General features: G+C 54.4%; 2 annotated features.

Moving 5' to 3' along the window:
* Positions 3,203–3,262: an enhancer, noted in NCBI's record as "active region_26905". NCBI's record gives its function as "activates an Ori minimal core promoter by ATAC-STARR-seq in GM12878 lymphoblastoid cells {active_cell/tissue: GM12878}" and the evidence as "EXISTENCE:reporter gene assay evidence [ECO:0000049][PMID:35858748]".
* Positions 5,787–6,287: an enhancer, noted in NCBI's record as "H3K4me1 hESC enhancer chr7:155790505-155791005 (GRCh37/hg19 assembly coordinates)". NCBI's record gives its function as "activates a minimal SCP1, AML or CMV promoter by ChIP-STARR-seq in primed H9 embryonic stem cells {active_cell/tissue: H9 hESC(primed)}" and the evidence as "EXISTENCE:reporter gene assay evidence [ECO:0000049][PMID:30033119]".

Consider the following 15,764-nt stretch of genomic DNA (forward strand, 5'->3'; position numbering starts at 1 on the left):
GCTTGTGGATCTATCACCATTTGGTTCACTCTGCAGAACATTTGAGCCCAACCTAACCACCCTATGTATACTTTGATCTGAAGTGTCCTCAGAGGCAAGTTTCAGAACACGGCTAGGCTGGGGAGGACCTGACCCTGGAGAAATAGCTGGGGAGGATCTGACCTTGAAGAAGCAGCTGGGGAGGAGCTGTCCCTGGAGGAGCAGCTGGGGAGGAGCTGGCCCTGGAGGAGCAGCTGGGGAGGAGCTGGCCCTGGAGGAACTGACCTTGGAGGAGGGCATGGGCTGAGTAAGGCAAGAGGAGAGTCGGGGAGATGATGGGAGTGGTGTTGGGCCTGAGCTCAGGGGGAAGCACTGGAGCTGGGGAGAAGGGTGGGCTCCCATTTTGGGGCTGGTCTTATCATCGTCTCCATCGTCTCTAGTAAAATCAGTAACCCTCCTCTCTGCACCACCTACTGTGTGCTACAACCTCTGCCGGCCCTAGAAACCCCAGGGCCGGTCCTTCTCACTGTCTTCTAGGGGGGACGTTAGAAGCTGGGGGTGCTGAAGCCCCAGAGCTGTGGGAGGCTGCAGGGCAGTGTGAACGCAGGCCTTCCTCAGTGGCAGGTGCCCTGACACAGGGCTGGGGCCTGACGTCTGCACCCTTCCTTTCGGTCTTCAAACATTGCAGTGAAAGAACTGGGTGTTGAGGCGAGGCGGGGTTTCCTGTGATGCACATGGCTCACAGCAGATGAGGCAGCCTCCGTCCTTTCATTACGAGCCATCTTCACAAGGAGTGGGACCCACTGGCTCGCTCGGGCTGGAGGAGCAGCTTCAATTACATCTCAGAAAGGATGTCTGCAGCCGACAAGCATTTGCCACCACCTAAATGGTTGTCCTTAAATGGGCTTTGCATAGGTGCTCTCACTCAGCTATAGGGGGCCCATTTTGCAACCAGCTCAGCTGGGTGACTGTGTTTTCATCACCTCAGCTTTGGCCTTTCCTAAGGACGGGGAATGCATGGAAAGGTTTTGAATTGAAGTTCTGCCCAGTGTCAGACATGGCATCTCTGCCTGGAAGCCCACATGTCCTCCGGCCTTGAGTCCCAGGCTTGCCCCTTAAGGCCCGTGTCCATGGTGTTCGTGGCTGCCACTCGGCCCTCTGTGTTCCTCATTCCTGCCTCCATCAGCCGCTGCTGTAGTCTAAGGTGCTGCCCGTTGTCCATAGTGGTGGTAGCTGCCACTCGGTCCTCTGTGTTCCTCATTCCTGCCTCCATCAGCCCCTGCTGTAGTCTAAGGTGCTGCCCGTTGTCCATATTGGTGGTGGCTGCCACTTGGTCCTCTGTGTTCCTCATTCCTGCCTCCATCAGCCCCTTCTGTAGTCTAAGGTGCTGCCCGTTGTCCATAGTGGTGGTGGCTGCCACTCGGTCCTCTGTGTTCCTCATTCCTGCCTCCATCAGCCCCTGCTCTAGTCTAAGGTGCTGCCTGTTGTCCATATTGGTGGTGGCTGCCACTCGGTCCTCTGTGTTCCTCATTCCTGCCTCCATCAGCCCCTTCTGTAGTCTAAGGTTCTGCCCGTTGGCGTGCGCCTCTTCCACTGGATGGTGACACAGTGCGGTGAGGGCCCTCAGTGCTGGGCCTTGTGAGGGTCTCCCGAGGCTGTAACAAGGTACTGAGCCAGAAATTCATCTGCTCCAGCTGTGGAGGCCAGAAGTCTGATATCAGGTGTGGGCAGGGCTGGCTTCTCCTGGGGCTCGCCTTGGCTGGCAGACGGCCGCCCTCTCCCTGTGTCTTCACAAGGCTGCCTGTCTGTGCCTGTCTGTGTCCACATCTCCTCTTGCCGTAAGGACAGTCAGACTGGGTTAGGGCTCGCCCTAAAGACCTCCTTCTTAGTTAGTTATCTCTTTACAGACCTTGTCTCCAAATACAGCCACGTTTTGAGGTCCTGGGGTTAGGACTTCGGCAGGAACTTGGAGACGCAACTCAGACCGAAGCCAGCCCCAGCTGAGCACAGAGCTCGTGACATGATGCGCCATGCTGCCCTGAGGTTCCCAACCGGGTCTCTGCTGAGCTCCAGGTCTGTACGCGGTGGCTGGCCTGCATCTCACCTGGCGGCCGTGGGGCACCTTCAACTGACCTGACTCCAGCTCCCTCTTCCCACTCCTGCCCCACCTCATCCATCCCTGGCCCTGGCTCTCCCTCAGCAAACAGCCCCTCCTCCTCTGCTGTACACACACCCTCCGGCTCTGCTCCCAAACCAGAAACCTGGGCCTCGCCCTGGACTTCCCTCTGTCTCCCTCCCTCTGTCCCTCTCTTCCCTCACATCTAGCCAATCCCAAATCCTACGGAGCCTTCCTTGTTAGAATCAGTACAGTCCCTCTTCCTTCCTGTCTGTCCTGTGCTGCTATCTCAGGCCTTCACTGCGGCTGTCAACGTCCCCATCTCTGGTCCTGCCCCTCTGATCTGCTGCCCACTCTGTCCAGGCTGAGCCTGCTAAGCTGTGTGTGTGCCCATTGATCTTTCCTGCTCAGCTCCCTCCTGAGCCTCTGTCTGCCTTCGGGGTCCTTCTGTCCTCACAGACCTGCCTTCCTGCCACCCTGGGCCTGACCCCCTTGGGATCCCTTGTACCTGAACCCTCCAGCGCCTGTGTTTTTCTCCCCTGCCTTTGGCCTGAGCTGCACTCCCTCCTCAGAGCCCAGCCTCGGCCCCTTCTCCTGGCATTGCTGATGAAGGTTCCTGGGGGCCCAGTAACTCCTTGAACCAAGTGTTTGTCTAAAATAATCCTCATTTTCCCTGTAGATGACTTCATTCACTTCTTCTTCTTCCTTCTTCCTTCTTCTTCTTCTATGGAGTTTCTCGCTCCTGTCACTCAGGCTGGAGTGCAATGGCATGATCTCGGCTCACTGCAACCTCTGCCTCTTGGGTTCAAATGATTCTCCTGCCTCAGCCTCCTTAGTAGCTGGGATTACAGGCATGCACCACCATGTCCGGCTAATTTTTGTATTTTTAGTAGAGATGGGTTTTTGCCACGTTGGCCAGGCTGATCTCAAGCTCCTGACCTCAAGTGATCAGCCCATCTCAGCCTCCCAAAGTGCTGGGATGACGGGCGTGAGCCACCGTGCCTGGCCATTCACTTCTTACATAACACAAACTCAACAGAAAATTGCATCCAGAGAAGCTCACATGCAGCTTCAGGCATCGGAAAAAGTAGTTTTGATCTATTTTTACTATATCAAAGTTCTGAAAGAGGATGTGGTGAAGGCAGAATGCTATCTTGTAACACTGGAGCCCCAGCGGGAAGCCTGAGCTCATGGGGAGGGGGACAGGCTCCCTGGGCATGGATCCAGGCTCTGGTACTTTCTGTCTGGGCTTTGGGAGTGTTGAGCCTCTGCCTCAGTTTCCACATATGTGGAAAATGGGCAAAATGCAAGAAACTGCCTCACCGTGCTGTGACGAGGACTGAAGTGAGAGCACGCCAGGCTCACAGACCAGTGGTGGGACGTGGGGGCTCTGACACAGGGCGGCTGCACGGGACCGTCACCATCACGTCCCTGAGGCCATGCCCCACAGTGGCTGCCTGGTGTCCTTGACATGGCTCCCATCTTCCGTGTGCCCATTCAGAGCACTTCTGTCTCCTCTTGGCTTCCATCTTTCTCCTCTTCGTATTACCCAATTTTCCCACAAAATATTGGTAAGTCCATGAGCAGCAAAGACCCCTCCTCAGACTGCGAGAGAGGGTGGGGGTGGGGGTGGGGCAGGGGGCTTAGAGTTTCCCAACTTTTCCCTCTCACTCACATTGGGTGATTGTCCCAGCATAGCCACTCAGCATCCTGGGAGATGCTTGGGAAAGAAAGGGTCCTTTGGCCAGAAACTTTGTGTCTCTTTTTTCGAGATGGAGTCTCCCCTTATTGCTCAGGCTGGAGTGCAGTGGCACAATTTTGGCTCACTGCAACTTCTCCTCCCGGGTTCAAGCAATTCTCCTGCCTCAGCCTCCTGAGTAGCTGGGATTACAGGTGTGTGCCACCATGCCCAGCTAATTTTTATATTTTTGGTAGACACAGAGTTTCACCATGTTGGCCAGGCTGGTCTCGAACTCCTGACCTTAAGTGATCTGCCTGCCTCGGTCTCCCGAAGTGCTAGGATTACAGGTGTGAGCCACCACGCCTGGCTGGACAGAGGTTTTGTGTCTTTTTGTTTCAGAACTCTTCTTGAGGGCACTGTTGGGTATCACCAGGCAGCCTTGGCATAAGACCTGTCATCACAGATTTTGATATGGCTTGGATGTTTGCTCCTCCAGGTCTCATGTTGAAATGTGATTCCCACTGGTGGAGACAGAGCCTGGTGGGAGGTGTCTGGGTCCTGGGGGCGGGTCCCTCATGGATAGTTCAGCACCATCTCCTTGGTGATGAGTGAGTGCCCACTCTGAGTTCACATGAGAGCTGGTCGTTTAAAAGTGCATGGCACCCCCTGACTCACTGCCTCTCTCACCGTGAGATGCACCTGCTCCCCCTTCACCCTCCACCATGATTGGAAACTTCTTGAGGCCTCGCCAGAAGCAGATGCTGGTGCCATGCTTGCAGCCTGCAGAACCTCGAGCCAATCAAGCCTCTTGTCTTTATGAATTCCCCAGCTGCAGGTGGGCGCCTTTAGAGCACCGCAAGGATGGCCTAACACAGATTCCCACTCCAATTTAGCTCCAGGAAAAAGTCGGTTTTGCTTTCTGCTTTTTTGTTCTTTGGACAAATTTAGAAGTTTTCTTTCTGTTAGAAAATGAAAATTATGCCCCTGGACAAGTTTCCTGTTTCGCTTCAGCTGTCAGGAAACCCCGTGCCCAGCTGCAAAGCCAGCCCGAGTGGCAGTCCTGCCACGAGGCGCTAGCTCTTCTGTCTGGGACCGGGGTCCTCCTTCTGGAGGCTCGTGTGTCTGTTGTCCTCTCGTGAGGCGTGAGGAGCAGAGGGTCTGGGGGCAACAGGACAGACTCCCTTCTTCTCTCATGGGAAGGTGTTTGCTTTAGGTCCTCCCTCTAACGTTCTAATCTCAAACCCATACACGTTTCCTCTAACATTTATCAGACTCCACAGAACTGGACAGACCTCTGTAAATACCAAACTGGCTTCGTATGCTTCAGCTTTACAATGCACCATTTAAAAAAATGACAGGGTCCAGGGCTTAGACATTTACATCCTATGCAAATCATTATGGCAAGTGTATGAATCAGAAAAATGTGCTTTGAATTGGGCTGGCCTCTCCTTTCAATATTGCCTTTTATTTGAAAAGAGGCAAACAGAAAGGAATTATATCTATTTGCTTTTTCTGTTGAATATTTTAATGGTTTGTTCTGTCTGAGAAAACCTGATGTTTAGCTAAAGTTGACAGAAACCACAAGTGGACGTGTCAAAACAAGCTGGAGAAAGTTACTTTTGATGTGTTTTATTGAGATATCCGGGTACTTTCCAATTATTTTATGCCAAGAAAGGTAATTCTTCACAAAAAAATGATTTCTTTTGAAAACCACAAGTGTAACTTGTCAAACCTTAAATATCATTTAGATCCATCGCGGGGGAAGTTCTAAGGCAGGCTCTGCGGCTCCTGGCAGGAACAAGAAAGCAGATTTGATGGACGCGTGTGCAGCGTGCGTAGCCGTCCCTCCATGCTGTCCTCCACACACGGGGTGACATGGGAGGCAGGCGGCCTCCTCCGTGCTCAGGAGGAATTTGTGGCACTTTGCGTCCTCACTGCCCTGCTCCCCGCAGCAGCACCCAGAGCTGTCGTTGGGTTCTGAGGCTGCTGAACTGTGAGTGAGTAAAGAGCTTCGAGCCGCTGAAGCTCACTGGCTCTCGGCTCTGAGACACAGGGATGTTCAGACAGGCGGCCTCTGTTCTGGGGGTGCTGGAAGGGCCCAGATGGCGTGTGGCAGTCAGCCAGGCCTGGGGCCAGCACCGATTCTGCCACCCAGGAGTCCCCAAGCCTCCCTGAGCCTGGTTCCTCTTCTTAATGCCAGGGCGAGCAGGTCTCTCCTGCATGGTGATGGAGCCCTAATGAACAGCACTCAAGGACTCTCGGCCATGTGTGCTGGGCGCAGGGCCCGCTGTGCAGGAGCCCGTGGACGGACGTGTGCCCTTCTCCCCCAGCTTGGATAACTGAAGCCCAGAGAGAGACCGCTCCCCAACCTTGCCCTGCCTCTTAGCAGAGTCCAGCTCTGCACGCACACAGCTCGCAGCTCCCTTCCTTCGTGGGGTGAAATCCAAATTCTTTGTAGACACGGGCACTGTGCACACGTGAAATACCTGTGTTCTTCGGCACCAGATTTTTCAAAAGGTGACTTAAGAAACAGCTCACAAATACAAAGACAATGGGGAAGGGAGGCGTTTTCAGATTAGACAGAAACCACATGAAAGACGCTTCGGAAGAGGAGCGAGGTTTGGACTTGACTCGGCAGTGGGCGGGGCCGGATCCCGGGTCTTCCAGGAGGGGCCCAGGCGCGTGGAACCGCGGGGGTGGGGGGCTCCCAGGAGGCTGCCCTGCCCTGGGGGGATGCCCGGAAGCCCCCGCGCCCCCGCCTGGCCACATGCTCCGTGGGGGATTGGAAAACCATCTTCTCCATCGGCACAGACGGTTGGAGCTGTGGGGCCTCAGAGGACAGCTGCGAGAACTGCTCTGGTTGAGGTCCGGAGGGGCGCATCCCTCGGTCTGGGCACTGGGACTGCTCTGCCCGTGGCCTGAATTTTACCACTCAATGTTCTTTAAAAAGGAGGACGAGGACAACAAGCACGGGAAAAGTCCATGTTTAATTAAGGTGCGGCCCCCTCGGGAGGAGCGCACACGTGGTCAAGGTGCATGAGGCAGAGGCCCACCTGGGAGCCCGCCAGCAGCGCCAGGTCACAGGTCCCAGCCCTCAGCTGGACGGGCCGTCCCTCCTCGGAGGCTGCAGGGTGGGATTGCATCCCCGGTGCAGGTGGGATTTGGCCCATTTTGAGTCGGGCTGTGTGAACATCTGCAGCTGCCTGGGTTTCTGGGTCTGGCCCATAGTGGACCCAGGCGCACCTTTGCCAGGCTGAGTGGGAGGCACCGGCAGGTTCACCAGGCTCAGGTCTGTCTGCCTTTCCCCTGTCGCCCTGGTGTGTGCTAGCTCTCTTGGGGTGTGCCTAACCTTTCAGCTTCCTTCCCACCACCTCTTCCCTACTTTTGTGTCCCTGCAAGAAGGAGGAGAGGACCCTGGTCCAGGGCCGTCCACAAGCCTTTGTGGGTCCCTGGGTCTTTGTGGGTTCCCAGGGCGGGGCGGGGGCTGGCTGCCCTATGTCGCTCCAGCCTCGGCTGGTGAGAAGGCCCAGCCTTGGCTGACTTGATGTGGTTCCCACCAGGCTGCCCGCTGCTCCCTCAAAGCGGGGCCCCAGGTCAGCTATAGGATCCTGAGCCAGGCTGTGCTGCCTGGGGCTGAGTGAACTCTGGAAATACAAGTCTGGGGAGAATGTGTTCTCCTGACTTCTGTGCAGAGCCCACTTGAGACCAGGAGGACCCAGGGGTGACCTGACGCCCTGGACGGCAGGGGAGCAGGGTTATCCAAGACCCTGGGAGGGGAAGGTGGCTGGGGCTTGTCCCGGAACTGGAGGGAGGAGGACACTGGATGGTTCCGGGTGTGGGTAGATAGAGGCCACATTGGTGCTGGGGCCCTGGAACCCCGGGGGCCACAGTCCAGTGAAGGAGTGTCCGGGACCCCTGGTACCGAGCCCTAGGTATGGCGGGTCGTGTTCAAAAATAGATTGTACGAGACTTTGTCCTTCTTCTCTTTGGCCATTCTCAGCGGGGCTTGGGTTCCTCGGGAATTTCTCAAGGGAAGAATCAGAGGGACAGGGGAGACGACAGAGCCCGCTTCTGTTCCTCCTTCACTAGTGGGGAGTCTCGCGTGCACGAGTGGGAAGGGCTCTTGGCCCACAGGTGAGGCTGCCTGGGCTGGGGCCTGCAGTCAGATGCCATCTGTGAGGCCTTTGGCAACACTATTTTTCCATTAACCTAAGAAGAATAGGATAAACCAGCACATTCTAAATCACCCAAATTGTCAGCAAGCACACGCGAGTGGCACTGCAGTGTTTGCGCGTGTTTCTGCTCCTCAATCGCATTGGTGTGGAGCCGCCCGCCAGTTTCTCATTCACAGTGCAGGGCTTCTCAAAGCGGGGCTGTTCTCAGGCCCTTGAGGCCTGGAGTTTGCTGGCCTGGCCTGCGCTGTGGCATCAACACCCCACGTGAGCTTCGACTCCTTGTCTCTTCTTGCCTCCTCCTCAGTAGGTGTCAGGGTCCCTGGGTCGCCTCACTGCTCACCCCAACTTGCTCTCAGTAGATGGGCTCCCAGCCACGACTCTACGCCCCTCTGTCTGTAACAGCCAACTCCACAGGCCTGGCTGGCCTCTCTCCTGGGCACCAGGTCCTACGCACAAACACCACCAGACCCATCCATGCCTGGATGTCCTGCATGGGTCTGGACATCAACCCAGAGCGAGGCTCAGCCTCCTGCATCCCCACAGCCTTCTACAGACTCCCTCTCGGTTTGGATCATTTCCGTCTGCCAAGCTGAACGCATTAAGCTGGGAGTGAACCTTGACACCACGCTCTTCCTTCCTTCTTCTATCTGGTTGGCTTCAAAAATCCAACAGGCCCTGTCTTGGCCGCTTGCCGTGCCCCGGCCTCTGCAGGGCGCTGCCCCTGTTGTCTTTCCCCAGGTACTCACTGACCAGCTGGGCTCATTGCAGCAGCCCAGACTCTGGTTCCTCTTCTCTTTCAGGGGATGGAGGGTAGGGACCACATCGTACAGCCGTCACCTCTCGCCTCCTCTTCTCTTGCCCCACCAGGGCTGAGCCTGTGCGTGACTCATCATCACTCACAGACGTGATGCTGTGTGGCTGAGACCAAACAGCACCAAGACCAAGCTCTTTGGGAAAGCCTAGGAGCCCCCGAAGGCTATGTCAGGAGCTGGTGAGGATCTCTGCCCCTTGGGAGGAATCCTCGCACGGGAAGAGCCAGGGCTGCCAGACGTCAGGCCATCCTTTAGGACAGTGCTGCCAAGCCTTTTACTCGTCCTGGCGCACAGGAAAAGGAACATCTTTGTGTGACAAGATGGCAGAGTCCTGGAGGGCGGCAGTCCCAGGGCAGAGTCCCCTCCCCAGGCACAGCCCTTGCCTGTTGTTCCCGGTTCCCCTGCACGCCGGGTGTTCTCTGTTGTCCCTGGTTCCTCTGCACACCGGGCGTTCTCTGTCGCCCCCTGTTCCCCTGCACGCTGGGTGTTCTGGGATGCGCTCATTTATGCTTGGGGTCCTCACCGTCTCCCATGGTGCTGGGAGAGAATCTCTCTCCATGGGGATGATTTGTGGAGGGAAAAACCTGGCGAAGTTTGACATGTGAAAGGATTACACGTGTCATCTGTGACAGGGTGGCTGCAGAGAGCTACAGGTACAGCGTCCTGCTTGCCCCAGCTCGGCAGGGTGTGGCTGGGGACTTGGGCCGCCCTTTCCCCTTTGTGGGTCTCAGTTTCATCAGTAGGGTTGGGAGTCAGTAGGGTGGCCTCCCAGCCCCTCCATGGGAGCCCCCTCCTCTTCCTTGATCTTTGTCTGTTTTTCTCTTCGTTCGGCTGGCAACAAGCTGTCACCCTCTGGCTTCCCAGGGAATCCAATGGCACCTGTGTTTCCCAGGCCTGGGTGCCGCGGTCCCGCAGTGGCATCCTCGCCTCTCCCCTCGTTCATCAGCATCTTTGCAGCCGTAGCCCCTTGTTTCTCTCTGTGGATTGCAGACCAGGGACAGCTCGGCTGAGTGGCTCCTAAAGATACTTTCCAAACCTCCCAGTTAACTCTGTTTCATGGGGTTAAGGGCGCTGTCTTTTCTTCCACACAATCATTTGTTGCAATGCTGTCTTGCCCAAGTTATGCCATGCATTTTGCCAAGCGCTGGTCTCCCCTGGTGTCCTGGCGTTTGCCATCCCAGGGCCCCGCCACACTGCCTGGGCCTACCTGGGTCTCCTCTCGGAGCAAACCCACAGCCACCCAAGTCACGCTGTTTCCGTGGGTGTGTGCCGTGGGTGTCTTATGTGTGCATGGGGCTAAGTCTGGAATTTACTCATTAAAACTTATGAAACCACTGCGAGGTCACGGTGAGGCTCCCGTGGGAGCGGGCCACAGCAGCCCCGGGCTGGAAGTCAAACAAGGAAGTGGGATCGTGTTGGAACCTGACGCTTCTGCCGGTGTGCTGGGTGCAGAGAATGGCTCTGACAATCAGAGCAATGGCACAAAAGGGCCACAGTGACTGTGCAGAGGTCAGGGCTTCATTTCAGGCCCAGAGGGAAGTAGGTGGGAGTTGGAGCTGCCTTCCCTTGTGGCCCTCTGGCCTGGTCCTGCTGATGGCAGGGCTGCTGTGAGGGTAGGGGTTGACATGACACAAATCCACCCTGGAGCTTATGAACATTGCCGTGGAGGTTTCTATGTGAACCACATTCACATGTTTTCAAGGAACATAAAAACTAAAAACTAAATGAATTCATAAATAAAGTATAATTGACGTCATAATGAGCACCTGCTGAACCAGCAGAGCATGGCGGCGAAGGTCATGATCTTTGGAATCGAACAGATCTGGGTTCGAGGCTCAGCCTGGCTACTTCCTGGTTGTGTAATCTTGGCTGCGTGAATTGACCGCAGTTGGCCTTGGTTTCCTCGTCTGTGAAACGGGGGCAGTGGTGACACAGGCTGCTGGCTGAGGTTAAATGAGAGCATGTGGGTGAGCCACAGTTCAGTGCATGGCATGCGGGAGGCCTTCAGTAAGTGGTAGCTACCCCGTCATCATCACTGTCACCTGGGATGTCTCCAGCCCGCCCTGTGTCAGAAGGCGGCCCTCCTTCCTGTCGGTGCTGGGGCATTTCCTGCTCACTGGCTGCCCCCTGTACAGATCAGCTCTCCCTCCCCTCTGCAGCCTCCCAGGTGACCTCCTGCTAAAGATTCCAGCACCTACAAAACGTGTTCTTACTCATTTTATGGGTGTCCTTATCAAAAAGCACCACCCGCTCAACTTTACCTTCATAAACTGGATTGTTTCCTTTTTCTTCCTAAAGCAAAGATGCCTCCCTGCCAAGATTGGGGCATTTTATGGTTCATTCAAACCCAAATGTATCATCTAGATTGATAAGAAACACACCCAGTGCCAAGTGCTTAGGGCACAGGTACCTAATCGGGGGGAATGACTGACAAGCAGAATCCTTCCCAGACTTCAGCTCTCTTTCCTCCTTGGCCCTTCACATGGGGAGGGAAGGGGGCTGCTTGGAGAAGACGCTAGAAGGAAGGGTTGGGTTCAGCGGTGACTCTGAGCTGTGAAGTGCCTTGGATGCAGGGCTGTGAGCAGGGCGCCTTGGGTGAGCAGTGGTTCCTGAGGTAACCAGGATGCAGCAGCTCTGCAGAGGTGGCTCCCAGCTGCCTGCTCTTGTTCTCTCCCGACGCTGCTCCCTGGGAAGGGAGGCTGGGAGGAGTCTGGAGATGCATCCCAGGACCGCTTTGCAGAGACCTGGAGCACTGATGACTGAGCAGTGTTTCTAATGATGGTCTGAGGCTCAGGCAGTGACTGCCTTGAGGCCAGTCTGGTCTTGCAGTGCGAATTTAAAAAGATCCCTAAAACAAAAATGTCACTCGGGCAAATGGTGCTTGTTGGTCCAGCGGGCGAATTTGCTAGGGTGCTGGAGGGAGTCAGGGTGTCTTTGGGCTGCCCACTCCCACTTTTCAATCTTAGGGTCTTTTAAGAGCAATTTTGGCAAAATGCGACAGCAGCCAGTTTTCAGTGCATAAGGAGAAGGAGAAAAGAAGCAGGCCGAGTCTGTCTCCAGCACAGACTCCAAAAGCAGAGCCGAAGGGTGGGCTGAGGGGAGGCGGCGGCCAGCAGGAGGGGACGGGTGAGTCCTGTAATTCAAACAGACAGAAGTGCTGGGATGGAAAATGGGCTTTTTGAACGCACGCTCCAGCCCTGCGCTCCCAGCAGGGGCCCGGGAGCTAGCTAATGGCCCCCGGACCTGATCATTTATCTTTATCAACTGTCAGTTAGGGAGACCATGACAGGGCTCCTCTCATGCCTTAAACAGAGGCTGCCCCTCGTCTGACACAGAGGGACCCAAGGGGTCCTTCCCTGCAGCCCCTTCACTTTGCAGATGGAGAGACTGAGGATATACAGCTCACCCTACGGTGCACAGCGTCGGGGCAGAATGGGGCTCTCTAGACACCCCTACCCGCATTCACTCACCTCACCCGGCTGCTGTCAATTTTCATAGCTCTTCCTGTTTTGGAAACGAGCATGGAACTTATTTTTAGCTGCATAGAGGTAAGAGGTGTTGCGGGACCAAGCGTGGAGCCACAATCGCCACTGACTTCACCATTGACTTTGCCATTGATATCCTGGTGTCACAGTTCCCAGGGAGGAAGAGGTTGCACAACAAGGCCGGCTGGGAAGCGCTTAGGCATATCCCTCAGTGACCGCCCGGACGTCAGCCTGTGTGCCTGGCTTTGCAGAACAGCTTGGAGTTTTCAGAGACCTCCTTGGGGCTCCCGTCGCTTGGCAGGACACGTCCCAGAAGGGTGCCTTCTGGAGCGCGTCTGAGTAGGATGAGGATTGCTTCCTCACCCCTAAACAAGAGTCTGCTCTGAGTACTCCTCACCTCACGCTCTGAGCTTCCACAGAGAACCCCTCCACTCATGGCGTGAACGAGGAGCGCAGAGCTGGGCCTGCTTGGGGACAAGCCCGGAGCAAGATGACGGGGATGTCAGGTGTTGACGGGGATGTCACCTGTCACTTGGGAATGAACACATGTTCTCTGCATTGTCCCCAAGGACCCCAATCCCTCTGAGCACAGACTCTGGAAAGCGTGCGCCATTCACCATCGGCTCTGTTTTACAACTGAGGTAGCCGGGGGATGGAGCAGGAAGGGCGTGCCCAGGTCCAGGAGCCCTCAGTGCTTCTCCAGCCGGCCCGACGGGTACACGAGAAGTCGGTGCTGCCGGGGCGCAGGCTTGGCCTCGCATGGCTGGAAAGGGCATGGGTTCAGCTCTGGTGGCGGCATCTGGTCCAGGAAAATCTAGTGGAACAGTGTGGTTGCACAGGGCAGAGGTGCACCCCTACCTCACCGGCACCCACTTGCAGGGCAGAAGACATGGGCCCCGTCTTCTGTGCCAGCTCGGACAGTGGCATCCATGCCCTGGGCCCTATGACTTATCCTAAGACAGCTCCTGTCTGTCCCCACTGGTTTCTGGAACAGGCCTCCCCAGTGGCGGACGGAGGCTATTTCTGAGGGAGCCCCAGGTGGAGGGGTCACAGCTATCAGAGCCACCCCACAATGGCTGCATGTGCCAAGAAGCCTCCAGCAGTGGGAGAGCCGCACCACGGAGCAGACAGATTCCTGGAGCATCCAGGACTGTCGGTCTCCTGGGCCCAGCGGTGCCAGCAAGCCCGCTGCACATCCCTGCCCAAGTCCCTTCTGTTCCTCAAGTGTCCCCTGTCCTCATCCTGAAGAGGCCCTGCTTCATTTCCCTCGCAGGCCCCCCACAGCAGGGAGAAGGTGCAGCTTCCCGCAGGGCTCCTCAGTGTCCCACTGCCCCACTTGTGCGTCCCCGAAGTCACGTCCTCTCTTTGCAGCAGAAGGAGGGTGTCCAGGGCATCAAGGGCCAATCCTACCCTTAGACCCAGGACCGCGCCTCTCAAAACTTTTGAATAACTACAGCCCCGATGGCCTGTCCCTCAGCTTCTCATGCTCTGAGAAGCATCAGGTGCCTCGGAGGCAGTCCCCTCTGAAGGCATCGCCAGAGGAGGCAGCCACTGGCCTGTCTCCCTCCCCTCCTTTAACCCCACTGACATTGCCTTGCTGGGACACCTTCCTCTGACTTCGCAGTTTTCAAACATTTTGGTTTCAAGACCCTGTCACATCCTTAAAAATCACTGAGTTTACTGTATTGGGAATTAAAACTGAAAAATTTAAGACGTGTATTAATTCATATAAAAATACTAATAATAATCCCATGACATACGGTATTTTTATACAAGTAGGACTGTGGCATTGATTTATATTTTTACAAATGTCTTTCATGTCTGGCTTAAGACAGGATGTCTGGATTCTCACATATGTGTTTGTGAGATATTACACGCAGCTTTATGAGGTTATTACTCACATTTAATGCAGTTTGCAAATCTAAATTGCACAGTTGAATGGTTTTTAGTGTATTCTACTCACAGACTTGCATAGCTGCCAGCACAGCCAACTTCAGAGCATCAACCCCAAAGAAGCCCCAGACCTCCTCCCAGTCCTTTCCATTCCTTCCAACCTACCCAGCTATAGACAACCACCTAGAGACTTTCTGTCTTTATGGCGTTCCCTGTTTGGTATTGTTTTAAATATAAATAGAATCTTACAATATGTAGTCTTTTCTTTCACTTAGCATAATCTTTTCAAGGCTCATTCATGTTGTTGTTCATTCCTGTTTATTATTGCATAACATTACGTTGTATGGATATACTACATTTTGCTTGTTTATCGGTTGATAGATTTTGGGTTTTCTCTTTATAGCTATTAGGAACACAGTGGTCCCCCCTTGCCTGCAGTTTTGCTTTCCATGGTTTCAGTTACTTATAGTCAACCCTGGTCCAAAAATTTTAAATGGAAAATTCCAGAAGAAAACAATTCATAAGTTCTAAGTTGTCTGCCATTCTGAGTCTTGTGATAATATCTTGTGCCATCCTGCCCTATCCTGCCTGGGATAAGCATCATCTTTTTTTTTTTTTTTTTTTTTTTCAGATGGAGTTTTGCTCCTGTTGCCCAGGCTGGAGTGCAATGGTGCAATCTCGGCTTACTTTAACCTCTGCCTCCTGGGTTCAAATGATTATCCTGCCTCAGCCTCCCAAGTAGCTGGGTTTACAGGCACCTGCCACCACGCCTGGCTAATTTTTTGTATTTTTAGTAGAGACCGGGTTTCACCATGTTGGTCAGGCTGGTCTCGAACTCCTGACCTCAGGTGATCCACCCGCGTTGGCCTCCCAAAGTGCTAGGATTCCAGGTGTGAGCCACCGCACCCGGCCTGCATCATTGCTTTGTCCAGCAGATCTGCATTGGATCCGCCACCTCCCTATTAGCCACATTGTAGCTGTTTTGGCCAGCATATCAAAAAAGCATAGTCTATATAGGGTTCAGTACTAATCTCAGTTTCAGCCATCCACTGGGAGTCTTGGCGCATGTCCCCTGCAGACAATGGGAGACTGCCGTCATACCGTTATGAAGATCCACACACAAGTTTTTGTGTGGTCGTGTGTTTTCACTTGGTTATATTTCACTCTAGGTTATGTGCTTAGTGGTGGCATGACTGGGTCACGTGGAAACTGTGTTTAACATTTTCGAGGTGCAGCTAAACTGTTTTCCAAACCTGCAACACATTTTATCTTTTCCCCAGCAGTGTGTGAGGACCGTGCTTTCTACACATCTCTGCTGACACTCCTGATAGTTGGCCTTTTGGATTATAGCCATCTTAGTGGGTTTGCAGTGGGACCTCATTGCAGCGGGACCTCATTGCAGCTTAGGCTTGCATTTCTCTAACGGCCAGGGGTGTGGGACATCTTTGCATGTGCTTTTTGGTACTTTGTATATCTTCTTTGGAGAATTGTCTATTCAAGTTCTTCACTCATTTTTAAATTGGATTGTCTTTTTTATCATTGTGTTTTGAGAGTCTTTCCTGTATATATATCCTATAAGCCATATCCTGTATGCCATATCCTGTATTCCATATACATGCCATA

Source organism: Homo sapiens, chromosome 7 (genome assembly GCF_000001405.40).
Source record: "Homo sapiens chromosome 7, GRCh38.p14 Primary Assembly".
Taxonomy (NCBI): Eukaryota; Metazoa; Chordata; class Mammalia; order Primates; family Hominidae; genus Homo; species Homo sapiens.